The sequence below is a fragment of the Homo sapiens genome, chromosome 5 (assembly GCF_000001405.40).
Source record: "Homo sapiens chromosome 5, GRCh38.p14 Primary Assembly".
Lineage (NCBI taxonomy): Eukaryota > Metazoa > Chordata > Mammalia > Primates > Hominidae > Homo > Homo sapiens.
Genome location: NC_000005.10, coordinates 32,339,708 through 32,367,517, shown reverse-complemented (window position 1 = coordinate 32,367,517; position 27,810 = coordinate 32,339,708). Strand labels below are relative to the sequence as shown.

The 27,810-nt window shown below is 39.8% G+C and overlaps 1 protein-coding gene across 2 annotated transcripts in view, besides 1 other annotated feature; it reads left to right on the top strand.

The window, feature by feature from the left end:
• Positions 1–13,168, top strand: part of ZFR (zinc finger RNA binding protein) — a 90,391-nt gene extending 77,223 nt beyond the window's left edge. For both annotated transcript variants that reach the window (NR_144318.2, NM_016107.5), the window contains 3 exons: positions 3,243–3,354; positions 3,473–3,570; positions 11,579–13,168. Coding sequence is in view for 1 of the 2 variants with exons in the window: in NM_016107.5 (NP_057191.2) it covers positions 3,243–3,354; positions 3,473–3,570; positions 11,579–11,758 (390 nt within the window). In the remaining variant the exon portion in view is untranslated. The remainder of the gene's footprint in view (positions 1–3,242; positions 3,355–3,472; positions 3,571–11,578) is intronic.
• Positions 27,409–27,609: a silencer, noted in NCBI's record as "peak5220 fragment used in MPRA reporter construct". NCBI's record gives its function as "represses an SCP1 promoter by STARR-seq MPRAs in K562 erythroleukemia cells {active_cell/tissue: K562}" and the evidence as "EXISTENCE:reporter gene assay evidence [ECO:0000049][PMID:32103011]".

Sequence of the window (27,810 nt, the reverse complement as noted above, 5' to 3'; positions counted from 1 at the left end):
GCCTGGGAGGTCAAGGCTACAGTGAGTTATTTATTTATTTATTTATTTATTTACTTTATTTATTTATTTATTTATTATTTTTGAGATGGAGTTTCACTCTTGTCGCCCAGGCTGGAGTGCAGTGGCGTGATCTCAGCTCACCGCAACCTCCGCCTCCCAGGTTCAAGTGATTCTCCTGCCTCAGCCTCCTGAGTAGCTGAGATTACAGGCACCTGCCACCACACCCGGCTAATTTTTTGTGTTTTTGGTAGAGACAGGATTTCGCCATGTTGGGCAGGCTGGTCTCAAACTCCTCACGTCAGGTGATCCACCCACCTTGACCTCCCAAAGTGCTGGGATTACAGACGTGAACCACCACACCCAGCCTGCTACAGTCAGTTATAATCACACCACTGCTTTCCAGTCTAGGAAACAGAGCAAGACCCTGTCTCTCAAAAAATAAATAAAAAGCAAATATTACAGTGGAGTGCAGTGGCATTCACTTGTAGTCTCAGCTACTGGGGAAACTGAGGTATGATTACTTGAGCCCAGGAGTTCAAGCTCGGCTGCAGTGTGCTATGATCGTGCCTGCGAATAACTACTGCACTCCATCCTGGCAACATAGCGAGGGCCTGTCTGTAAAAAAAAAAAAAAAAATTAAAAAATCTTTTAAAGCAAATATTACAATCCTTGATTTTTTTAATCATTTAATATGGGGAGCTTTTTCCATCTCCAGTTATAATAATTCTTAATAAGTTATTCTCTTATATAATTATAGCCTCCAAGACCCTTTACATCAAAACCTGAAGTGTTGTAATCCTTAATTTGATTCTATTTATTTTTGATATTATCTTTTTACTTTTGAATTATATTCTTCTATTTTCATTGCTCTTTTAACTGTAGACATGTGCTTGGAGAATAGCTATGTTCTTTAGAAAATTAATATGTTTTAATTGCTTAGTTCACAGTAAATGGTGTCAGAGGTAGTTGATTAGTTTTATTGTGTGTGTTTAAGTGTATTGACTTTTTTGTGTTCCATAAATAATTGATTTCTTTCTTGACTTTTAATTAATTTCTGCTTTTACCTGCTGGTATAAATCAGAAATGCCTGATTCTTAAAGCCAATCAATAAACAGATTTTGAAAAAGCTTTGAGTTACTTGAAACACATTTTTATGTCTTGACGTACCTGAACTGTAGCTGATTACTTAATGCTCACTTTTCTCATAACATTTGCTAAAAGTACTCAGTAAAAATTTGAGGCATTTATCGAAAGTTACGTATTTTATGACTTCAATTTTGTGTTTTAATCACAACATCAATATTTTGCTAATTATTACTCTTGGTTTATTTTATCACTGAATTGTCAGGATTATTCTCACATTCTTTCCAAAATCATTCCATGTCATCATTTACTAAGTATTTACAAAATTCTGGCTACTTGTACTAGGCAAGTGGGTTCAAGATGAGTAACACTGACCTTATCCTCAAGGGTCTCAAGTCTTTTCGCATCTTAAAATATTCCATACACATGCATATTCCATACATACACATAGAGTTTTCTAGATGACTGAAGCTTGTCCCTTAAAATATTAAAACTTAACTTTAAAATGAAAATCCGTAAAAAATGAAAAATGTCTTGAGGGGCTGTTGCTGTGATGCCTGTAATCCCAAGGCTTTGGGAGGCCAAGGCAGTTGGTTTACATGAGTCCAGGAGTTCAAAACCAGCCTGGACAGCATAGTGAGACCCCATCTCTACAAAAATTAGCCAGGCATGGTGGCTGCGCCTGTTGTCCCAGTCGTACAGCGGCACGACCACAGCTCACTGCAACCTCAAGCTCTTGGGCTCAAGTGATCCTGAGCTGAGGTGGGAGGATCACTTGAGCCCAAGAGCTTGAGGCTGCAGTGAGCCATGGTCATGCCACTGCATTCTAGCCTGGGTGACAGAACAAGACCCTTTCTCAAAATAAAAAAGAATCTTGAACATCTTCCTGCATTCTTCAACGGAATAAACTGAGCTGTCTTAATTTTTTTAATTGTGACTTACATTTATCACTATTAATATTCATTATTTTCAGGTTTTTTCCAATCGTGCTGGAAGCTATCATTTATTTTTCATAGTTGTTAATGTGCGCTATTTCTTTAAATTCTCATCTCTTAAAATGTAAAGAGATTCTGAGAAATGGCCTTGGAGTGAATAGGTTGACGCAGTTTTTACTTCTGATAAATAAGTCCATGAGCTTTTTTAGTGTATAGCCAAAAGTATGGATTCTCACTAATGTCTTTTCAGCTTTCATTATCATCTTAAGGATTTCATAGTGGTTCCAAACTAGTTTCTTTGAATTGCTGTTGGTAGTCTCATTTAAACTTTTAAGTAAAAGCTACAACATGGATAAGCCTTAAATATTATGCTAAGTGAGAGAAGTCAAACACAGAGCCACGTATTACATGATTCCATTTGTATAAAACGTCCATAGTAGGCAAATCTGTAGAAACTGGAAGTGATTTAGGGGTTGCCAAGGGCTAAAAGAAAGGGAGAATGGAGAATGACTACTAGTGGCTATGTGGTTTCTTTTGGAGATCATGAAAATGTTCTGGAATTAGGTAATGGTGATTATTGAACAACTTTGTGAATATACTAAAAACTACTGAATTGTACAGTTTAAAAGGGTGAATCTTACATGTGAATTATATCTCAATTTTTAAAAATCTAAATACAAATTTTTATCATGAGACCCTTCAAAACACCACTCCCTGCATTGGGTTTTTGTTTTGTTTTTTTTGTTTTTTTGTTTGTGAAGAAAGATGGTCTCACTCCATCACTCAGGGTGCTAGAGTGCAATGGCGCAATCTCAGCTTACTGCAGCCAGTAAACGATCCCAGGCTCAAGCGATCCTCCCGCCTCAGTCCCCCAAGTAGCTGGGGCCACCAGCATGTGCCACCACATCCAGCTAATTTTTGGTTTTTTGGGGTTTTTTTTGTAGAGACGGGGTTTTGCCATCTTGCCCAGGCTGGTCTTTAACCCCTGAACTCAGGCAATCTGCCTCCCAAAGTGTTTGGATTACAGACGTGAGCCACTGTGCCCGGCCTATTCCTTAATTTTGAATGTTTTTATATTATATGTAATATTTATTTTCTGTTTTTGTGACTTGTTCTATGTAGCTTTTTCAGTCTTTAAAATTTTTTCAGTCTTTAAAATTTTAGTTTGAAAATGAGTAATTCCTTTGGTAAGCTGTTAAACACATTTTTATGTTGTATTTTTAGGCTATGGAGTTACTAGTAGAGAAAGCAATCAGCAGTGCTTCTAGCCCTCAGAGCCCTGGGGATGCACTGAGAAGAGTTTTTGAATGCATTTCTTCAGGGATTATTCTTAAAGGTAACTCTTACTTTGTTTTTAATGAAGTAAAATGAAGTTTACTCATTTGCTGGTTGAATAATTTTTTTTATAAGTGGACAATGCTAATAATTTCCTCTCCCTGTGGTGATTGCTGTAGGTAGTCCTGGACTTCTGGATCCTTGTGAAAAGGATCCCTTTGATACCTTGGCAACAATGACTGACCAGCAGCGTGAAGACATCACATCCAGTGCACAGGTACTGGTATTCCTAAATTCAGAGCCCTATTGGGTTACTCCATTAAGGTTTTATTTTTCTGTTATTGTCTTAAGGAATATTATAAGTCACTATATAATATTCGTTCTTCTGCTTCTGTAGTAAGCAAGCCCCTAGAAAGGATATTAAAATAGCTTGCCCAAAACTAGATTTCACTAATAGAGTTTAAAATTTTATTATTTAATTATATGGGCATTTCTAAGTAAGTGTATTGTATATTATAAAAATACAGCAATATTTTCAGTGTCTCATTAAATCTGGGTAATAGGTTATGTATCAAGATCAGCAGAAATTCTTATGTCCTCTGGTTGTACAAAAGTAATTTGCTGTGGTGTTTATGGTCATTATTGTTATAATTTAACCTTTCCTGCCACTGTCAAATAAAGTAAATAAAAATGTGGGCTCTGGAGACAGACTCCCTGGATTTGACTACCAACTCTGCCATCTCATCTGTAATATGGATATAAAAGCAGTATCTGTCTCAAACAGGATTGTTGAGAAGATTAAATGAGTTAATATGTGTAACCATCTTAACACCTGGTATATGGAAGGATCTTAAATGTTAGCTAGTATTATCATCTTATTAACCCTATTGAATAATTATGAAAAAGAAAAAACATTGAACCTAATGAATGAATGGAAAAAAATCAACCTAAGATTGGTACAGCTTCCCTTTGTTGATTCCAGAAATGTGCTGAGTAGGGGAAAAAAGCATACTAGCTATGAACAGTAATTCACTCTAAGATGCTTGGGAGTTGTTGGATTTAAGATCTTGATTGGTTATCTTGAATAATTTGGAATTTGAAAGATGTCAGGATCAAAGTAAATTGTTAGGCCAGAAATGGTATTGGGGGAGAGAGAGTAGTAATAGAATATTATGGATATCTTACAGACTCAAAATATGACCAAATTCTTATGCATTCGCTGTTTTTATTTCTTTCATTTTATATTCTAGGGAAGAAGATAGTTGCCTTAAGTGTCTGTTCTTTCTCCCTTTAGTACTTAAAGGAATTAGTTATAAATTTAAGGGAAAAGAAATTCAAAAGGAAACACTTGAAAACTAACAAAATTCATCATTAAGAAGAATGCTTACTTTTCTAAAAATGTGACCTTAAAGAAAGTGGTCTGGTTTTAAGAGGACGTTTAGGAGAACATTTAGAAGTGTTCTTAATAAAAGTGAACGAGTTACACAATATACAATGCATTTATGTAGCACTCATGACGTAATACTTGGATGAGGAGGAAAACAGATTAGTGTTTCCTAGGAGTGTTTAAGGATAGGAAGAAGGAATGGCATGGCTCTAAAGGGGGTCTTTTGGCAACAGAACAGTTACCCATCTTGATTGTGATGGTAGTTACATGACATAAGGCGGCATGTGTGATAAAATTGCATAGAGCTATACACACATGCACACATAAATTAGTGCATATATAACTGGTGAAATCTGAAGTACCAGTGTCAATTTCGGTTAGTTTTTCGGTGGCCTGTAGCGCCCATGTTAATGTCCCTCTTCCTTCCTTTGTCTCTGGAATGATTCCATATTTCCTTCCACAGTGTCTACCTTTATTCTTGTATGCCACTATATGTCTTTTCTCCAGTGATCCTTTTCAAGTTGCTTCTGCCAGATACAGCCTTTGTCATTTATTAAAATTCCTTCCTATAGGTAGGCGTACATAGTTTAACATACCTTTAATAAACAGGCAAAATTTATAGGGTTAATCATCCCTTCCCAAGAAGCAAATGGATTATAAAATAAACCTTTAATCCTCGATGATGATTAAAATTCCAAAATGTCTTTGGGAATGATTTGTATCAATCTTCAAATTTAGTTTGCTGCTAAATAATTGCCAGTAATATGGTAGAATTTTCTCTTCTTGTCAGACCTTAGAAGTACCTACAAACCACATGCAGAACAAGAGATTATAGGGTGCTCACTCAAACCTCAAATGCTATATTGGTTTTACTTACTGGAGTATTCCTTCATTTAGAAACTCATAAAATATTAGCATAGGCTGGGCCGGGTGCAGTGGCTTCCACCTGTAATCCCAGCACTTAAGGAGGTCAAGGCGGGCGGGCCACCTGAGGTCAGGAGTTTGAGACCAACGTGGCAAAACCCTGTGTCTACTAAAAATAAAAGAATTAGCCGGGCGTGGTGGCATGTGAGTGCCTGTAGTCCAGGCTACTTGGGAGACTAAGGCACGAGAATCGCTTAAACCCAGGAGGCACAGGTTGCAGTGAGCCGAAATCGCACCATTGCACTCTAGCCTGGGCAACAGAGTGAGACTCCATCTCAAAAAAAAAAAAAAAAAAGAATAGGCTGATGCTTAGTAAGAATATCTCTGTGGTAAAAATGTATAAATATTCATTATTATATATGAGATATCTTTTGATATTTTCTGTTAATGTAGAAGAAAACACTATTATGTTATCTTTAGGAAGGACCTTTTATAAGTCTCTCTGAATAAAGAATTAGTATATTATGATGATAAATCTTCCTAGTTCTCACCTGGGAAGTTAACAGTCTTATAACTTAAGTGAAGTAGAGAAACGGTACTGGCAAAAGTCCCTAATAATTGTAGATGAAGTAGAATGCTGTATCAAGTCCTGACTACAGATGACTTTGAGACTTTCAGGATTTTCAAAGCAGGTGTATGAGCCAAAATTCTTAGCAACTAGAATTATCTAACTTGGGGGAAAAGTTTTGGAGCAATAAATTCCCATGTGGATGACTAAACCAGTAACTATCCTTTATCTCAAAATCAGAGCAGGGATTTAAAATAGTGTGAACAGCAGTCACTTTGAAAAACAGGTTAGAGCCAGGCACAGTGGCTCACGCCTGTAATCTCAAGACTTTGGGAGGCTGAGGCAAGAGGATTGGTTGAGCCCATGAGTTCAAGAACGACCTGGCAACATAGCATAACCTTATCTCTATAAAAAATTTTTTTAATTAGCTCTGGGCATGGTGGCGTGCACCTGTAATCGCAGCTACTCAGGTGGCTTGAGGTGGGAGGATCACTTAAGCCCAGGAAGTTGAGGGTTCAGTGAGCAATGGCTCATGCCTGTAATCCGAACAGTTTGCGAGGCCGAGGTGGGAGGATCTCTTGAGCCCAGGAGTGCATTACCAGTTTGAGCAACATAGCAAGACCTCATCGCTTAAAAAAAGGAAAAGAGAAACAGGTTAGCAGCTCCTCAGTAAGTTAAACATGGATTGCTGTATGCCTCAGCAACTCTTTGATATCTAGATATATACTTAAGAGAATTGAAAAAAATATGTCCCCACAAAAACTTGTACACAAATATTCAAAACAGCATTATGTGTGATAGTCAAAAAGTAGCAACAACCTAAATGTCCATCAATTGATGAATGGGTGAATAAACAAATACAGTCATACGTTAGAATATTATTCAGCCAGACATTAAAAGAAAGTACTGACACATGCTATGATGTGAATGAACCTTAAAAACTTTATCCTAATTATCTCGTTTATATGAAATATTCATAATAGGCAGTGGTAGTTCTCAGGGCCTAAGGATAGAGGGGTTGGGGAGTAACTGCTGTTGGGCTTGGGGTTTCCACTTAGGGTAATGAAAATGTTCTAGGATAAGATAATAGTGATAGTTGAGTAACTTTGTAAGTATTCTGAAAACTTCTGAATTTTACATTTTAAAGGTGTATATTTTAAAGGTATGTGAATTTTACCAGAAAAAGAGTCCAGTTACATTGAAGGCTATAACTATGTAGAGAAAGTTGCTGTTTAATCAAGTGACTGTAAAATTTCCTTGAATTAGGTTAAGTGGGTATATCCCTAGAAATGGAGGGATAGATTAAATCATGTCTCTGAAGTCCCCCTAGTTTCAAGATTTTAAGAAATCTTTTGAAATTGGTGCCAAAGATATTCTTACATACACATGGTCATGTAGTGAAAGTTTATTTTTATTCATGAAGTAACAAGGAATTTTTCTTTCTTTTTTTTTTTTTTTCCTTAAGACGGAGTCTCGCTCTGTCACCCAGGCTGGAGTGCAAAGGCGCAATCTCAGCTCACCTCCGCCTCCTGAGTTCAAGCGATTTTCCTGCCTCAGCCTCCTGAGTAGCTGGGATTACAGGCATGTGCCACCACCCCCCGGCTACTTTTTGTATTTTTAGTAGAGACGGGGTTTCACCATGTTGGCCAGGCTGGTGTCGAACTCCTGACCTCGTGGTCCACCCACCTTGGTCTCCCAAAGTGCTGGGATTACAGGCGTGAGCCACCGCACCCGGTCAAGGATTTTCTTTCCTAATCATAGTGATTTCAGTCATACACAATGTTTCTATACTGATGCACATTTTTTTGTGTTCTAAGGAAGGAATCTTTTGGCATTGGCTGCTGTTAGGGAGCAACTTAGACTCATTGAAAACCAGCTACAGTATCAGTACATTTTTAAGATTGCACAGTGAATGCCACATTCTTCTGGCTGAAAGTAAACAACCCATTAAATAGATATTAGCATATCTTTAAGCTTTAGGGCAGGGGTATCCAGTCTTTTGGCTTCCCTGGGCCACATTGAAAGAAGAATTGTGTTGGGCCATGCATAAAATACACTGACACTAATGATAGTTGATGGGCTAAAAAGAAAAAAAAAAATCGCAAAAAAATCTCATAATGTTTTAAGAAAGTTTATGAATTTGTATTGGGCCACATTCAACACTGAGGGCCACGGATTGGACAGACTTGCTTTAGGGGTTTTTTGGTTTTATTTTTTTGTTTTTTTGAGACGGTTTCACTGTCACACAGGCTGGAGTGCAGTGGCACCATCTGGGCCCACTGCAGCCTCAACCTCCCCGTCTCACACAATCCTGCCTTAGCCTTGCAAGTAGTTGGAACCACAGATGTGCGACACCATGCCCAGCTAATTATTTGTAGAGACAGGGTCTCCTTATGTTTCCCAGGCTGGGCTCAAGTGATCTTCCCACCTCCACCTCCCAAAGTGCTTAGCCACCATGCCCGGCTAAGCTTTAGAATTTTAATAGATTTTAATAAATTTTAATAAAAGAAAAATGAAGTAAAAGCACAAGATAAGATGATATGATTCAGTGCCAAAGTTTGCCTTCCCTTCCCTTATCTTGGAAAACAGTAGGCTCTTTTTGGCTCTCAGTTCTGCTGATAGTTCGATATGCCCTTCAGCCAAGACGATTAATTAACATTTGGTCTGAACTTCCCCCCTCCCCTTTTTTTTTTAATTTAAAAAAAAAGTTAATTAAAATTTCAGAGGGAGAAGAGGATAGAACTTTAAAAATTGATTTAAATTTTTTTTTTTCTTTGAGACGGAGTCTCGCCGTGTCGCCCAGGCTGGAGTGCAGCCGCCTCCGGGGTTCATGCCATTCTGCCTCTGCCTCCCGAGTAGCTGGGACTATAGGCACCCGCCACCAAGCCCGGCTAATTTTTTGTATTTTTAGTAGAGACGGGGTTTCACCGTGTTAGCCAGGATGGTCTGGATCTCCTGACCTCGTGATGCGCCAGTCTAGGCCTCCCAAAGTGCTAGGATTACAGGCTTGCGCCACCGCGCCCGGCCTTAAATTTTCTTTTTTTATTTTTTGAGACAGTCTCTCTCTGTCACCCAGGCTGGATTGCAATGGCACAATTTTGGCTCACTGCAACCTGTGCCTCCCGGGTTCAAGCGATACTCCTGCCTCAGCCTCCAAAGTAGCTGGGACTACAGGTGCATGCCACCACACCCGGCTAATTTTTCTATTTTTAGTAGAGATGGGGTTACACCATGTTGGCCAGGCTGGTCTCAAACTCCTGACTTAAGCGATCCTTCCACCTTGGCCTTCCAGAGTGCTGAGATTACAGGCATGAGCCATCACATTCAGCCAATTTTAATTTTCATTTGGAATTGGAAATACAAGAGAATTGCTAAGAAAAGTTCAACTCTACCAGATATCAAAACATCCTATAAACCAACAGAAATTTAAACTGTAGTTATGGCACAGAAGTAGACAGATAAACCTTTGGAATGGAAGAACCTTGAAGTAGACCATTAGATATAAGGGAATTAATGTATGACAGACCTGATGCTTCAAATCAGTGGAAAAAGATGAATCATCAGCAAAGTGGTATTGAGATAACTGGCTAATCATCTAAGGAAAAAATTAAGCTATACATACATACAAGTAAATGCCAGCTGACTTAAGGAGCCACACATAAATTATCAAAGTATTAAGAAAAATATAATTTTTACATAGGCAAGATCTTTTTAAGAAGGCTGTAAATACAGGAAGTCATGAAGGATATTATTGGAAATTTCATATGGTATCTTTAAACTTAGGGAAATGAGCCAGCAAAAATATGCTGCACCTCACTGATTGATTAAAAAATACAAGTTGGCTGGCCCTGGTGGCCCACACCTGTAATCCCAGCACTTCGGGAGGCCAAGGCAGGCAGATCTCCGGAGGTCAGGAGTTCAAGACCAGCCTGGCCAACATGGTGAAACCCCATCTCTACTAAAAATACAAAAGTTAGCCTGGCGTGGTGGTATGCACCTGTGATCCCAGCTGCTTTGGAGGCTGAGGCAGGAGAATCACTTGAACCCTAGAGGCGGAGGTTGCAGTAAGCTGAGATCGCGCCACTGCACTCCAACCTGGGCAACAGAGCAAGACTCTGTCTCAAAAAATAAATAAATAAATACAAGTTATAGCCAGTCATGATAGCTCAAGCCTGTAATCCTAGCAGGTGAGCAGAGTTCAAGACCAGCCTGGGCAACATGGCGAAAATACCCCGTCTCTACAGAAAATAGAAAAATGAGCCAGGTGTGTTGGTGTGAGCCTGTGTTCCTGGCTACTCGGGAGGCTGAGTGAGATCTGAGCCCAGGGAGGTCGAGGTTGCAGTGAGTTGTGATGGCACCACTGCACTCCAGCCTGGGCAACAGAGTAAGACCATGTCTCAAAAATGTTGTAAATAACAATTAGATACTGTTTTGCCCATCATACTTGTGAGAATATTTTTCTGTTTATAGTATCCAGAAGGGGGAAGCAGACTTGCATACATATTACTAGTGGATATATTAATCAGTATAAATTTTGGGGAGCTTCATTTGTTAGTACTCATCACTTTTATATGTTCAGCGGTCCCACTGATTAATAAAAGTTCTTTCTCCAGAACTTGTCACATTAAGTGCACAGAAACATCTTAAAACAAGCATTCATTGTAATACAGTAATAAAAATACTTGGAGGCCGGGCGCAGTGGCTCACGCCTGTAATCCCAGAACTTTGGGAGGCCGAGGCGGGCGGATCACGAGGTCAGGAGATCGAGACAATCCTGGCTAACACAGTGAAACCCCGTCTCTACTAAAAATACAAAAAAAAAAAAATTAGCCAGGCGTGGTGGCGGGCACCTGTAGTCCCAGCTACTTGGGAGGCTGAGGCAGGAGAATGGCGTGAACCCGGGAGGCGGAGCTTGCAGTGAGCCAAGCTCGCACCACTGCACTCCAGCCTGGGCAACAGAGCGAGACTCTGTCTCAAAAAACAAAACAAAACAAAAATACTGAAACCAGCCTAGTGTTTACCAGTAGAAAATTAGGTAAATAAGTTTGGTACATCCACATGAGTATAATTACAGTTCTTAAGTTACATACTGTCTACCAAATGCCTAGGAAAGCCATCAGCAACCATTCTGTTAAAGCAGGTAGCTCCCATTTTTCTTTGTTTTCAACATCCTGCTTGTTTCTTTGATGTCACTTCTCATAATTTTTGTAATTTTGTGTGTGTGTTAAAGTTTTTTGGTTTTTTTTTTACTTAATGTTTAAGATAACAAAATGGCATGCACACAGAAAAGCTAGGAAATAAAAACATGAGAACATACAGATTATTTCAGTTGTGAAAGTAATTCCTTTAAATGTTTCTTTCATTACACATGCTTTTTTAGGTTGCATTTGGAGGGAGGTAAATGTAGTAAGTATTACTACTTGGGGTTTTTCAATTAACTCAAAATTCTGACTCTCTTTGTTGCAGTTTGCATTGAGACTCCTTGCATTCCGCCAGATACACAAAGTTCTAGGCATGGATCCATTACCGCAAATGAGCCAACGTTTTAACATCCACAACAACAGGAAACGAAGAAGAGATAGTGATGGAGTTGATGGATTTGAAGCTGAGGGGAAAAAAGACAAAAAAGATTATGATAACTTTTAAAAAGTGTCTGTAAATCTTCAGTGTTAAAAAAACAGATGCCCATTTGTTGGCTGTTTTTCATTCATAATAATGTCTACATTGAAAAATTTATCAAGAATTTAAAGGATTTCATGGAAGAACCAAGTTTTTCTATGATATTAAAAAATGTACAGTGTTAGGTATTATTTGAATGGAAAGACACCCAAAAAAAAAAATGTGCTCCGACTAGGGGGAAAACAGTAGTTCCGATTTTTTCCCATTATTTTTATTTTATTTTCTGGTTGCCCTAGCTTCCCCCCCTATTTTTGTGTCTTTTATTAACTAGTGCATTGTCTTATTAAATCTTCACTGTATTTAATGCAGGATGTGTGCTTCAGTTGCTCTGTGTATTTTGATATTTTAATTTAGAGGTTTTGTTTGCTTTTTGACACTAGTTGTAAGTTACTTTGTTATAGATGGTATCCTTTACCCCTTCTTAATATTTTACAGCAGTACGTTTTTTTGTAACGTGAGACTGCAGAGTTTGTTTTTCTATATGTGAAGGATTACAACACAAAAAGTTATCCTGCCATTCGAGTGCTCAGAACTGAATGTTTCTGCAGATCTTGTGGCATTTGTCTCTAGTGTGATATATAAAGGTGTAATTAAGACAGAGTTCTGTTAATCTAATCAAGTTTGCTGTTAGTTGTGCATTAGCAGTATAAAAGCTAATATATACTATATGGTCTTGCAACAGTTTTAAAGCCTCTGCATAATTGATAATAAAAATGCATGACATTCTTGTTTTTAATAGACTTTTAAAATCATAATTTTAGGTTTAACACGTAGATCTTTGTACAGTTGACTTTTTGACATAGCAAGGCCAAAAATAACTTTCTGAATATTTTTTTCTTGTGTATAAGTGGAAAGGGCATTTTTCACATATAAGTGGGCTAACCAATATTTTCAAAAGAACTTCATCATTGTACAACTAACAACAGTAACTAGCCCTTAATTATGGTGACAGTTCCTTATTGGTGTGTGTGAGATTACTCTAGCAACTATTACAGTATAACACAGATGATCTTCTCCACACACCCCATCACCCAGATAATTTACAGTTCTGTTAACAGTGAGGTTGATAAAGTATTACTGATAAAAAATTATCTAAGGAAAAAAACAGAAAATTATTTGGTGTGGCCATCTTACCTGCTTATGTCTCCTACACAAAGCTAAATATTCTAGCAGTGATGTAATGAAAAATTACATCTTACTGTTGATATATGTATGCTCTGGTACACAGATGTCATTTTGTTGTCACAGCACTACAGTGAAATACACAAAAAATGAAATTCATATAATGACTTAAATGTATTATATGTTAGAATTGACAACATAAACTACTTTTGCTTTGAAATGATGTATGCTTCAGTAAAATCATATTCAAATTTATTGAGTACTGCATCTTGTTATTCCTGACAAATGTTTGTTGTCTAAGCACATAATTTTCAGAAAATTTTGTAATTCAATACTATATTGGCTTAATTTCTTTCTAGGGTCAGAATCTACCCCCAAAGTCTTAGAGGGTCAGAATCTTCCCCCAAAGTCTTAGAGGGCCAGGAAACTGTAGGAGACCACAGGGGAAATAGAACAGGAGACTCAGACTTTTCTCCCAGATTCATCACACACAGATTATCTAATCTAAAAATCTGAAAATTGTCAAAATCTGAAACTTTTTGAGGGCCTACATGACATTCAAAGGAAATGCTCATTGGACCATTTCAGATTTTCAGATTAGGGATACTCAACTGATAGAAATATTCCACAATCCAAAACACTTCTGGTCCCAAGCATTTCAGCTAAGATATGCTCAACCTGTACTGTCTGTTTAACTTGGACAAGGCTTTTTTTCCCTTTGTAAATTTCTCTGGGCCTCATTTTACTCTCCTTTAGAATTTCGTTCCTCAACAATTCTCTTGGAAGAATGCTGGCCTGGCACAATGGCTCACGCCTGTAATCCTAACACTTTTGGAGCCCGAGGCAGGCAGATCTGCTTGAGCTTAGGAGTTTGAGACCAGCCTGGGCAACATGACGAAACCCCGTCTTTACTAAAAATACAAAAATATTGGCTGAGCATGGTAGAACGTGCCTGTAGTCTCAGCTACTCGGGAGGCTGAGGCAGGAGGATTGCTTGAGCCTGGGAGGTCAAGGCTGCAGTGAGATCACACCACTGCACTCCAGCCTGAGTGACAGAGTGAGAGCCTGTCTTTAAAAAAAAAAGGAGGGGAACTGACCTTTACTACACGTTGATTCTGGGCGCCATGCTAGGTCTTTTTATGTACTTTCCCATTTAAAACTATCGTAAGTGAATTGTAGGTAGTATACATCATATTTTTTCGATGAGGAAACGAGCCCAGAATGGCTAAATGAAGATTATACACCTTATGTCACTGTTTAAGTGACAGTTTCAAAGTTCATGGTCAGCACTTTGCCAGGCTGCTTCCTTCACCCTCCAATTATGTACTAAAGATGTTTTCAGCCCATCTGGGACCAAAATTTTGCATTTGGTTTGAGTGTCTTCATCCAAAAATGCAATTGGTACCATTTAAGTTTTTTACTAAAACAATTATTTCTGTATTTTCTACATAGCTTGTTTTCATAGCTGTGGCTAGACCCACATTAGTTATATGAAAGAGTAACTTGGATTGAATATTCCTTAGTATCCTCTGACAGTTCTTTTGTTTGGTTGTTTTGCTTTTTGAGACAGGGTCACGCTCTGTCCCCCAGGCTGGGGTGCAGTAGCACGATCATAGTCACAGCAGCCTCGAACCCCTGAGCTTAAGCAATTCTCCCGCTTAAGCCTCTCAAGTAGCTAGGTCTAGAGGTGTGCGTCACTACACCCAGCTCTTTTTTTGTAGAGATGGAGGCCTTGCTGTATTGCCCAGGCTGGTCTCAAACTTGTGGTCTCAAGCAGTCCTTACCCACCTCGGCCTCCTAAAGCACTGGGTTTACAGGCATGAGCCACCACACCTGGCCTGATTTTTTTGTTGTTGTTTGAGACAGTCTCGCTGTTGTCACCCAGGCTGGAGTTCAGTGGCGCTATCTTGGCTCACTGCAACCTCTGCCTTTCAGGTTCAAGTAATTCTCGTGCCTCGGCCTCCCGAGTAGCTGGTATTACAGACGTGCACCACCACGCCCAGCTAATTTTTGTATTTTTAATAGTGACAGGGTTTTGCCATGTTGGCCAGGCTGGCCTTGTGAACTCCTGGCCTCAAGTGATCCACCTGCCTTGTTCTTCCAAAGTGCTGGGATTACAGGCTGGCCTGATTTTTTTAAGTCAACAATATTGTAAATAATTTTTCTGCTTACTGAAAAAAAGCAGAAGTCTTGTTTTTGCATGGTCATTACATTATTATGTTATGAATTTATAAGCAGTTCCTTTAGAGGAGCCACCATTTTTTGAATTTGACAGAGCCGTTTTATTAAAAAAAAAATTTCCCAGTAAAGGACAAATACTGGCCAGGCACAGTGGCTCACGCCTGTAATCCCAGCACTCTAGGAGGCCGAGGCGGGCAGATCACCTGAGGTCAGAAGTTCAAGTCCAGCCTGGCCATGGTGAAACCCCGTCTCTACTAAAGATACAAAAAATTAGCCGGGCGTGGTGGTGCACACCTGTAATCCCAGCTACTCAGGAGGCTGAGGCAGGAGAATGGCTTAAAACCAAGAGGCGGAGGTTGCAGTGAGCTGAGATCATGCCATTGCACTCCAGCCTGGGCAACAAGAGCAAAACTCCGTCTCAAAAAAAACAACAAAAAAAAGGACGAATATAGGTCATACAAAGATGATAATGTTCATAGCAGTGGTCTGAAACTTGACTGTTCATGAGTCATCTGAGGAACATTCTAAAAGTTAAGATTTCCGGCCAGGCATGGTGGCTCATGTCTGTAATCCTAACAGTTTGGGAGGCCAAGGCAGGCAGATTCCTTGAGCCCAGGAGTTCAAGACTAGCCTGGGCAACGTGGCAAAACCCTGTTCTAAAAAGTTAAGAGTTCTAAATCCTAACTGCAAAGATTCTTATTGAGATAGGCCAGAAAAGCCTGAGAATCTGCAATTTAAGATGACTTTATATTAGGTAATTTACTTGAATGGGTGGTTCATACACATGATATAAAAAAAGTTGACAGGTATAAAGTGATACATAGCATAAAACAAGTATTCTCCTTTACCTTGCCTTCCAATTATGTTACTTCCCTTCCAAGAGATAGTGTCAGCTCTTTGTGTGTCCTTCCACAGATGATCACTGTATGTGTTAGCATGAATGGATGCATCGTGTTTGTTCTTTACAAAAATGATAGCATACCGTGTATGATCTACACCTTGCTGCTTTTTATTTAAGGTATCTTGGAGTCTTGGAGGTTATTATGTATCAGTACACATAGAGAAACTGCATTTTTAACAATCACTATAGGATCATTCCAAATTAGATTTTTTGTTTTTCTTAAATTTTATCTGGGAGACTACGCCATTGCACTCCAGCCTGGGTGACGAGCAAAAATCCATCTCAAAAAAAAAAAAAAAAGCTGGGCACGGTGGCTGATGCCTATAATCAACACTTTGGGAAACTGAGGCAGGTGGGTCTCCTGAGGTCAGGAGTTTGAGACCAGTCTGGCCAATATGATGAAACCCCCTCTCTACTAAAAATACAAAAATTAGCCAGGCATGGTGGTGGGAGCCTGTAATCCCAGCTACTCGGGAGGCTGAGGCAGGAGAACGGTGTGAACCCAGGAAGTGGAGCTTGCAGTAAGCCAAGATCGTGCCACTGCACTCCAGCCTGGGTGACAGCAAGACTCTGTCTCAAAAAAAAAAAAAAAAAAAAAGCCAGGGAGCGGTGGCTCACGCTTGTAATCCCAACAGTTTGGGAGGCTGAGGCGGGCAGGTCACGAGGTCAGGAGTTCGAGACCAGCCTGACCAACATGGTGAAACCCCATCTCTACTAAAGATAGAAAAATTAGCCAGGCATGGTGGCGCGCACCAGTAATGCCAGCTACTCGGAAAGCTGAGGCAGGAGAATCACTTGAACCCAGGAGGTGGAGGTTGCAGTGAGCCAAGATCGCACCACTGCACTCCAGCCTGGGCAACAGGGCGAGACTCCGTCTAAAACAAACAAACAAAAAATGTACATGGTTCTGATACAAATTGTGGATCATGCTTTAATAAATGCTTTATAGCAGTGACCATAATGTACTATACAATGCAAAACTAAACTATATTTTAAATTTAGTATTAAGTGTATTTTGTCATCAGCCAAATCGTGTATATATAGTTATCAGTATGTTAATCGGAATATTAAGCAAATCGTAATATCCCCATTCCCTAAGGAATTTTTTTTTGATACTTCAAGTTTTACGGTACATGTGCACAACATGCAGGTTTGTTACATATATATACATGTGCCATGTTGGTGTGCTGCACCCATTAACTCGTCATTTAACATTAGGTATATCTCCTAATGCTATCCCTCCCCCCTCCCCCCACCCCACAACAGGCCCCGGTGAATTTTATTGATTACCTGTAGTCTCGGTAATTTTAGTCTTCCTTTATCTTGCTTAGTGTAATAATATTGGGTGTAAAATAAAATCTGGAAATATGAAACAGTTATATTACTAACTTAAAGCCTGAATTTTTTTTTTTTTTTTTTTTTTTTGAGACAGAGTTTTGCTCTGTCCCCCAAGCTGGAGTGCAGTGGCACAATCATGGCTCCCTGCAACCTCTACCTCCCAGGTTCAAGCCATTCTGCTTCAGCCTCCCGAGTAGCTGGAATTACAGGCAAGTGCCACCACACCTGGCTAATTTTTGTATTTTTAGTAGAGACAGAGTTTCACCATGTTGTCTAAGCTGCTCTCCATTTCCTGACCTCAAGTGATCTGCCGGCCTTGGCCTCCCGAAGTGCTGGGATTACAGGTGTGAACCACCGCGCCTGGCCTGAAAAATATTTTTTAACATTAATTAAGCTGATTCTATGTTAAATACAAAGCTAATATATTCACCTCATTCTAATATAATCCCAAGTGAGACATGCTATTTAATATTAAAGAAATTGGGTCTTTAGTTTGGAAAGGACTATTCAGTTTAGCAACAAACCTAATGTGAAAGCCTTTTTCTAAAAAAAGGAAGCAACCTATGGAATAAAAGTATGAAATTGATTAAATTTCATAAAATTTAATCAAATACGGAATAAAAGTATGAAAAGATTAAATTGATTGTAGGAACTGATTACTCTAAAAATACATGAAGATTAAGAGTTCAGGCTGAGTACAGTGGCTCACGCCTGTAATGCCAACACTTTGGGAGGCCCCAGTGGGCAGATCACCTGAGGTCAGGAGTTCGAGAACAGCCTGGCCAACATGGTGAAACCCTGTCTCTACTGAAAATACAAAACTTAGCCAGTGTGGTGGTGCATGCCTGTAGGCCCAGCTACTTGGGATGCTGAGGGAAGAGAATCTCTTGAACCTAGGAGGTGGAGGTTGCAGTGAGCCAAGATCATGCCACTGCACTCCAGCCTGGGCAACAGAGCAAGACTCCATCTCAAAAAAAGAAAAAGAAAAATGAGAAAACTTGATGACACAGGGCTTGTGTTTCTACATGGTAACAATTAGCTAAAGCTGAGAGTAGGGGCCACTCCCTTTAGAAGATAAATTTTAGACATAACCTGTTCTGAACAGTTTACCACAGCCTCCATCATTTCCTATTTGTCTACCAGGCTAGCCCTGTTGGCATTTGATTTTATTATATCTCAGACCCCAGACATTTTACCTATGTATTCTTCCAACTTTAACATGGAACCGTATCTGTTAAGTTTGGGAACAATCTCTAGTTATTTTCCATTCTAAATTTTTAAATTCTGTAATCAGGTATTTCCTATACATTAGGATATTTAATGCTCCTCTACTTAATGTAACAGACAGCCACAGAGAAACACTTGCACTTTCTTCACTGATTTTTTTCAAAAGAAATATCAGGAAGAAGGCCTGAAATTTAAGCAAGCTACAGCCTTAAGAAAATCCATCCTTTCATTGGAGAGACCAAATCCATTACCTTCTGAAAATCTCAGTCACGTTGGAGTAGCCTGCCTGTCATCCTGTCTGCTCTCTGGACTAAGAGAAAGAGGTAGAAGAAAGGGCATTGGGAGTTGAAGAAGAAGAAAACATAGATGAGCTAAAAGGAAAATAAGATATTTCTAGATGACAAAATTTCTAATTGTATTGTTACTGGAAAGGGGTCCCAATTTCTTGGATCTCACATGAGAAAGAATTCAGGGCAAGTCCATAGAGTAAGGTGAAAACAAGTTTATTAGGAAAGTAAAGGGATAAAGAATGGCTACTCCATAGGCAGAGCAGCAGCCTGGGCTGCTCAACTGCTTATACTTATTGTTACTTCTTGATTATATGCTAAACAAAGGGTGGATTATTTATGAGTTTTCTGGGAAAGGGGTGGGCAATTCCTGGAACTGAGGGTTTCTCCCATTTTTAGACCATGTAGGGCAACTTCCTGACATTGCCATGGCATTTGTAAACTGTCATGGTGCTGGTAGGAGTGTCTTTAAGCACGTTAATGCATTATAATTAATGTATAATGAGCAGTGAGGATGACCAAAGGTCACTTTCATCACCATCTTTGTTTTGGTAGGATTTGGCCAGCTTCTTTACTGCATGCTGTTTTATCAGCAAAGTCTTTGTTACCTGTATCTTGTGCCAACCTCCTATCTCTTCCTGTGACTACAAATACCTAACCTCCTGAAAATGCAGGCCCATAGGCCCATAGCCTTATTTTACCCAGCTTCTATTCAAGATGGAGTTGCTCTGGTTTGAATGCCTCTGACATATTTTCCCCCTGCCTTTTATAAGAAAACCCTTAATCCTGAGTTCTAGAGGGACAAAGATCCATCTTCTGTAACTTCTTCAGGGTGAGTAAGGGCAATGATATTCCTGGTTAACAAATTAGGGTCTCTTGTATTTGTGGTAGAGAGGCACTCAGTAAGAAAGCATCAGTATGGTGAGGGCCATTCATAACTTTGAGTTCCAACAAAAGGTAATATCTAGAAGATTAATAAGTGTTCAATTTAAGAAAACATTCAGTAAGCTTATCCTGCATTCCTACACAAAGAGTACAACAGCAATATATTCCACAACAGTAAAGCAAAATAAGTAAAATTATCCCAAGTAAACTAAATAGAAGACTTTCCATGAACTGGGCAACTGTTGGAACCAAGCTGATACAGGGTTGCCAGCTGATTCCAATATGTGCCTAGAATTAGAATACTTATCCAGACTTTTTTCACAGTACCCATCCATCTCTCTTGTTTCTTCTAAGCTGTAGCCAAAGATCACTGGTTGGTTCACAGGAATAAGCAGTCGGTCTAAATTGCAGAATAAAAAAAAACTTAAAAAATACTGATGAGACTAGAATCTAATCACAGGTGTACCATTGTTCTTGAAACCTGATTTTTTTCTCTTTCCAGTCTTCCATTTTTACTAAAGACAAATCATACTAAGACCGATTTGCTTGCAAAAATAAGCTTTTTTGAAAAGATAAATCAGGTAGAGAGAAAACAAATATACTCCAAATTTTGTTCATGGGAATATACTTTACTCAATTGTTAAAAGCTGTAAATAGCTCAAAAGAAAAGTTGTCTTGACTCCGAAAAACAAAACAAAGGATTAGCAATATTTTAAGCAAAAGGTCAAAAAAGATTACTTCAGTCTTCCATTAGTTCAGTCCTTGAAGTTAACTCCTGTTGATATTCATGAACATTTCAACTCTCCATGAGAGTCCTGAAAGTTTTTTCCTCTATTCTAGTGTAACAGTCTTCAAAGTTGTCAGGAACCTGCATTCAACAGCACTTGTCAAAGTCCTACAGCTAATTATACACCACCTTTTGAAGAGGATTAAAACAAAACAACAATAGTCTGTGGATGACAAAAACTCTTAGACCAGCCATTATTTAAGCCACAATGGATTAGGAATTTTGGTTACCTCTATGGTACACAATAATTTTACATAACAATTATAATTATTAATAACATACACTATGTCATATCAGAATTATAGGAGTTTCCCATAATTTTGGAACACATACCAATAATGTATTTATACAAATATAGTGCAAAGAAAGCCACCATTTCATATTTGGCAATGCTTCCTATATGATTTTTATACCAAATAAACCAGTTTCAGCTTTGCATTAATGTACTATTAATGTTAAACCCAATTCTTAATAAAACCTTGGCTGGGTGCAGGGGCTCATGCCTGTAATCCCAGCACTTTGGGAGGCCGAGGCAGGCGGATCAACTGAGGTCAGGAGTTCGAGACTAGCTTGGCCAACATGGCAAAACCCCGTCTTTACTAAAAATAGAAAAAAATTAGCTGGGCGTGGCGGTGGGCACCTGTAATCCCAGCTACTCAGGAGGCTGAGACAGGAGAATCTCTTGAACCCGGGAGGCAGAGGTTGCGGTGAGCCAAGATCACGCCATTGTACTCCAGCCTGGGCAACAAGAGTGAAACTCTGTCTCAAAAAACAAACAAACAAAAAACAAAAAACAAAAAAAAACATTAATTTTTCACAAACCTTCAGATTTATCCTAACTTGAAACAATCATTTAACCCTTTAAGCAAAAAAAAAAACCCCACATTCCCATGCCTTCTTAAAATATTTTACTTGGGGTGGGTGCAGTGGCTCATGCCTATAATCCCAGCACTTTGGGAGGCTGAAGCAGGCAGATCATGAGGTCAGGAGATCAAGACCATCCTGGCTAACACGGTGAAACCCCATCTCTACTAAAAATACAAAAAATTAGCCAGGCGTGGTGGCAGGCACCTGTAGTCCCAGCTACTCGGGAGGCTGAGGCAGGAGAATGGCGTGAACCCGGGAGGCGGAGCTTGCAGTGAGCAGAGATCACGCCACTGCACTCCAGCCTGGGCCTGGCTGACACAGCGAGACTCAGTCTCAAAAAATATATATATAGATAGATATAGATAGATAGATGATAGATAGATGATAGATAGATAGATGATAGATAGATAGATAGATAGATAGATAGATAGATAGATATAGATAGATATTTTACCAAAAACACATTTCACTTTTCTTACACACCTTGCATGTAAAACTGTTTTTACTTCCCAAAAATTACTTAAGTCACATGAACTAAAAGACATTGCACCTTTTACTTTTCTGACGAAATATTTGAATTAAGCTCTTCTTATTTTATAAGCCAATTAATCAGCTCTTTCATATATAAACATCACACACAGCACATATAAATAGGTAGAGAGAAGAAGATCCAGTAGTTGTAAGATTTTTCATTTGCCAGTTTCTTTTTTTTTTGAGACGGAGTCTCACTTTGTCACCAGGCTGGAGTGCAATGGCACGATCTTGGCTTACTGCAACTTCCACCTCCCAGGTTCAAGCGATTCTCCTGTCTCAGCCTCTTGAGTAGCTGGGATTACAGGCAAGTGCCAACACGCCCAGCTAATTCTTGTATTTTTAGTAGAGACGGGTTTCACCATGTTGGCCAGGATGGTCTTGATCTTTTGACCTCATGATCTGCCCGCCTTGGCCACCCAAAGAGCTGGGATTACAGGTGTGAGCCACTGAGCTTGACTTTTTTTTTTTTTTTTTTTTTTTCGAGACAGAGTCTTGCTCTGTCCCTAGGCTGGAGTGCAGTGGCACCATCTCAGCTCACTGCAACCTCCACCTCCCAACTTCAAGCGATTCTCACGCCTCAATCTCCTGAGCAGCCGGAATTACAGGCGCTTGCCACCACGCCCAGCTAAATTTTTTTGTTTTTTTTTTTGAGACAGAGTCCTGCTCTGTCTCCAGGCTGGAAAGCAGTAGTGCGATCTCAGCTCACTGCAACCTCCACCTCCCAGGTTCAAGCAATTCTCCTGCCTTAGCCTCCCAAGTAGCTGGGACTACAGGCATGCGCCACTACGCCCAGCTAATTTTTGTATTTTTAGTAGAGATGGGGTTTCACCATGTTGGCCAGGCTGGTCTCAATCTCCTGACCTCGTGACCTGCCCCCGCCTCAGCCTCCCAAAGTGCTAGGATTATAGGCATGAGCCACCAGGCCCAGCCAATTTTCTGTATTTTTAGTAGAGACAAGGTTTCACCACGTTGGCCAGGCTGGTCTCAAACTCCTGGCCTTAAATGATCCACCTGCCTTGGCCTCCCAAAGTGCTAGAATTACAGGTATAAGCCACCTCACCCAGCCTCATTTGCCAGTTTCTTAATTGGATTATGGGCTTCAGGGTAGAGCCCTTGGAGGGAAAGGCCAGGAAAGCATACAGTTTCTATGACAGGCACAGCTGGAAGACAAAAACAGACCCCCAAAATGAAGGGTCCCATTTTTATACTGAATCCTGGATCCCCAAAAGAGAAACGCAACAGAACAAGACAATGCAAAGATTTTACCGTGCATTTCTTTGAGTCTCACTCTGTCGCCCAGGCTGGAGTGCAGTGGCACAACTTCGGCTCACTGCAACCTCCACCTCCCAGGTTCAAGCAATTCTCATGCCTTAGTAACTGAGATTACAGGAACGCACTACCATGCCTGGCTAATTTTTGTATTTTTAGTAGAGATGGCGTTTTACCATGTTGGCCAGGCTGGTCTCCAGCTCTTGACCTCAAGCAATCTGCCTGCCTTGGCTTCCCAAAGTGCTATAATTAACAGGCGTGAGCCACCATGCCTGGCAACTTACATTTCATTGCAAAACAATCTGAAGCCAGTTAGCCCATTCCCCATGGGAGTCTTATCTCTCAGTGTTGGGGTTGGGATATTGCCCTACCTTCCAGGTGGCCAACAGCATGCTTCTCTAATCCAAACGTACAAAGAGCTGAGTATCCTCCCATAACTGCCATTAGCCATCCCCAAAGTATATTTCCTACCTAGCTATTACATATCAAAGCACTCTCATAATGTAAAATAATTTCTGATACCCCCCAAAATAAAAAACGACAGATAATGCAAAGCAAAACAGAACAGAGCCTTAGATTTTGAGAAGGATCTATTCACTTCTAATTCCCGGGATTTCATGAGGAAAACAGATGTTTTTCTCAAAACAGGGTCTGTAGCACCTCCTCTGTTTTTCCCAAGGAGTCCCAGACTGTTACAGCTTGAATAAGCTGACTTTTATCCATAGAGCTCTTAAAAAAAAAAAGTCCTCTTAAATCTCTTATTGCCTGACTTTAGCCAGGCTACACTGCCAATATTTCTGGCTTTTGAATTTTACCAAAAGTAACCTCACAGGTTACAGCATTGGGCAGTTGCCATTGCTCTTCCCAGAAGGGGCTTAGAGCAGCCAATTTTGAGCTTGCAATGACTTTTAACTGCTCAAGATAATCTTTAGAGCTTACTATGACATGAATTCCAAATTTGTGGTCCACTGAATGGCAGAGACCAAAAGAAAGTGCTGCCACATGGTTACAAACTCAAGCCACTCAGAGTGGGGTGAAATGACCTTCTGACCAGGAATTTCAGCATGTGGTCTCTGGGCAAGATCAAAGAGCAGACAATTGCCCTCAGTAATAGAAAAAATAGAGAAAGGGAAAAAAGCATTGCCTGCCGCAGGGTGGGGAAGGCAAGGTCAGAGAAACACCCACCCTCTGCAGCAACGCTGAATCAAAAGTCAGACAGCCACTTGTCACTAGCAAAGAGATCTTCTCCAGCATCCCATTAGCTCTCAAGTTTCCCCCTTTGGGAAGAAAAAGGTTCTCTATGTCCCATGAACCTGCACATGCCTAGTCCCATCACCCATAGGTGTCACTTCCCATTTTTGTCTATAAATCTTCTTCCACCACTTGGCTGTGCTGGAGTCTCTCTGAATCTGCTGTGATTCTGGGGGCTGCTCGATTCGTGAATCATTCATTGCTCAATTAAACTCCCTTAAATTTAATTTGGCTGAATTTTTTCTTTTAACAGATGGTACCAGAAGTGGATAATTACTTGGCTTGGATCCAGTGAGATGCCTCTTACAACTGACTGAATCAGAAAGAAACTGGTGGTAAATGGTAATATTACAGGGGGTGTAAGATTTGACTTTTAAAAATTCACGGGGATGTTTGCGTTCTACCCCTTTGTTTCATTTTTCTTATATGCTCAGGTAGCAAAAAAAAAAAAAATCATTGACTGAGTTAATCAAGGGCACCTGAGAGTAAAGCCAATATTTTAGGTAAAGGTGGGATCCTTAATTTCTGGAAAACTGAGCTCCTTCCAACTTACACGTTAAACACAGAAAACAGCATAGTCTTACAGAAATGATGAAATCTTACTAAAGGTAACTTACAGTGGAACATTCTGAATGAACCACGACAGACTGAAGTACATTTAAAAATGAGGACTCCCAAAAATTAAAATCTGCTAACCTTTTAACTTAGTTACTATCCCCATCTAAAGGAAATAGACTGCAGCACCAACTGACTGACTTTGAATAAGTAATGGGGTACATTTTACCCGAGTAAAGAATGGCACTGGGTTAGAGGCCCTCCGCTCAGTAAAGTCCCTTTTGGTTAAAAATGGGTTAAAGATGACAGAGCCTTGCCAGTTTAATATTTGATGCCTCCATGCAGCCACTTGGGTGGCAACTTGCAAAATTGAGAGGCTTTTGCCTGTGGTTCCATGAGACAGAAAAAATATTATTTTCCTTTGTGTTGCAGCTTGGCCCCCAGGGCCGTGGTGCAGCCAGCAGGTCACTAGGGCCACTTGGGGAAAGGGAACCCGGAAGCCCGACATGTCAGCAAAAGAGTAAAAATTTCTTACCAGTCAGACTGCTGCCTCTCTCTCCCTGTACAAACTGGTTGAATGAATGATAAAAATCATTATCTCCTGTGAAGTTTTGATTAATGAAAAAAGGATTTATGAGGCTACTCTTGAACTATAGCCAATCTGGTAAGCTTTATGTGTCTTCCTATATCGTTCTGTCATAAAGAGGAGTTCTTTTTTTTTTTTTTTTCCAAGATGGAGCCTCGCTCTGTCACCCAGGCTGGAGTGCAGTGGCGCGATCTCAGCTCCCTGCAACCTCCGCCCCCCCGCAGGTTCAAGCGATTCTCCTGCCTCAGCCTCCCGAGTAGCTGGGATAACAGGTGCGCTGTAATTTTTGTATTTTTAGTAGAGATGGGGTTTCACCATCTTGGCCAGGCTGGTCTTGAACTCCTGACCTCATGATCCACCCGCCTTGGCCTCCCAAAGTGCTGGGATTACAGGCGTGAGCCACCGCGTCCAGCCAAGAGGAGTTGTTTAGGATAGAACATGGGCTTAAAACCCCATAAGCCCGCTGCTCAAGATGGCTCAACAAACTGGTTAATAACAAACTTTACTGAAATAAACAAACAAGAAAACTGGATGAGGTCTCCATCTTGTTTTATGTCCTCGGGAATTTGACTTTGTGAGAACATGGCGGTACTTTCTCTTGGTCTCCGCCTTCCAAGGAAGAAGAATTTTAAAGTTCATGTCATAGTTAACTCTAAAAATTACCTTAAGTAGTTAAAAGCCTTTACAAGCTCAAAATTAACTACTCTAGACTCCTTCCGGAAAGGGCAATATAAACCACCCAGTGCTGTAACTCAGTAACTAAGATTTTGTCCTTTCATAGTGACAGCCCAGGTTCAATTCCTGACTTAGAAAATAAGTCCTTTCTTGTTTAATATCTGCATAACCATTACCATTTGTTGATTGTCTTCCCCTTCTGTAACCATCTTGAATTTTCCTTTCTCAGAACACCTGTAAGGTTACTTGGTAAAGTTTAAAAGTCAGAAATATTGGCCATTTGACCTGGCTAAAGTAGGGTAATTTAAAAGAAATTTAAAAGGATTTTTTAAAAAGAGCACTATTGTTAAAAGTCAGCTTAATTAAAAACAGATATTCAAGCCCTAACAGCCTGAGACCCTTTGGGAAAAACAGGAGATGCTAGAGATCCAGTTTTTGGAAAAACCTGTTTTCTTCATGAAATCCCCAAAATTGAAAGTGGATAGACTCCTTTCAAAATCTAAGTCTCTGGTCTGTTTTGTATTACATTATCTGACATTTTTTACTTTTGGGGTTATCAGAAATTACTTTACATTATAAAAGAGATTTGGTGTGTAATAACTAGGTAGCAAATATATTTTTAGGGGTGTCTAATGACAGTTATGGGGAAACACTCAGCTCTACACATTTGTATCAGAGAAACATACTCTTGGCCACCTGAGAAGTATGGAGATGTCTCCACCCCCAGTGAGAATGAGACTCTCATGGGAGATGGACTAATTACAAAATGGATTGATTGGCTTTAGGTTGCCATATAATGAAATACATAGTAGTAACATTACACTGTCTTCTCCAATAGCATTTCGCTTTGTAGGGGGATCCAGGATACAATATGAAAATGAGACCCTTGGCTGGGCACAGTGGCTCACACCTGTAATACCAGCATGTTGGGAGGCTAAGGTGGGAGAATCATGAGGTCAGGAGTTCGAGACCAACCTGACCAACATGGTGAAACCCCATCTCTACTAAAAATACAAAACATTTATCTGGGTATAGTCGTGGGCACCTGTAATGCCAGCTACTTGGGAGACTGAGTCAGGAGAAATGCTTGTACCCAGGAGGCAGAGGTTGCAGTGAGCTGAGATTGCGCCACTGCACTCTAGCCCAGGCGACAGAGTGAGACTCCATCTCAAAAAAAAAAAAAGAGACCCTTAATTTTGGGGATTTGTTTTTGCCCTCCATCTGTGCCTACTTATTAGGCCATAGAAACTACATGCTTTCGTAGCTGTTTCTTCCAAGGACTCTACCCAAAAGCCAGTAATCCAATTAAGAAACTTAAAAATGTAAATGAAAAAATATTACAGCTACTTAATCTTCTTCTGTCTGTGTAGTTATATATGTGTTGTGTGTATAATGTTTATATGAAAGAGCTCTAATTAATTGCCTTAAAGAAAAGTAAGTACGTAAATCAAATATTTTGAAAAAAATAAAAACTATAATGTCTTTTAGTTCACACAACTTTAGTGCTCTTTGGGAAATAAAAACAGCTTTAAAGATTATTGACAAAATAAAAAC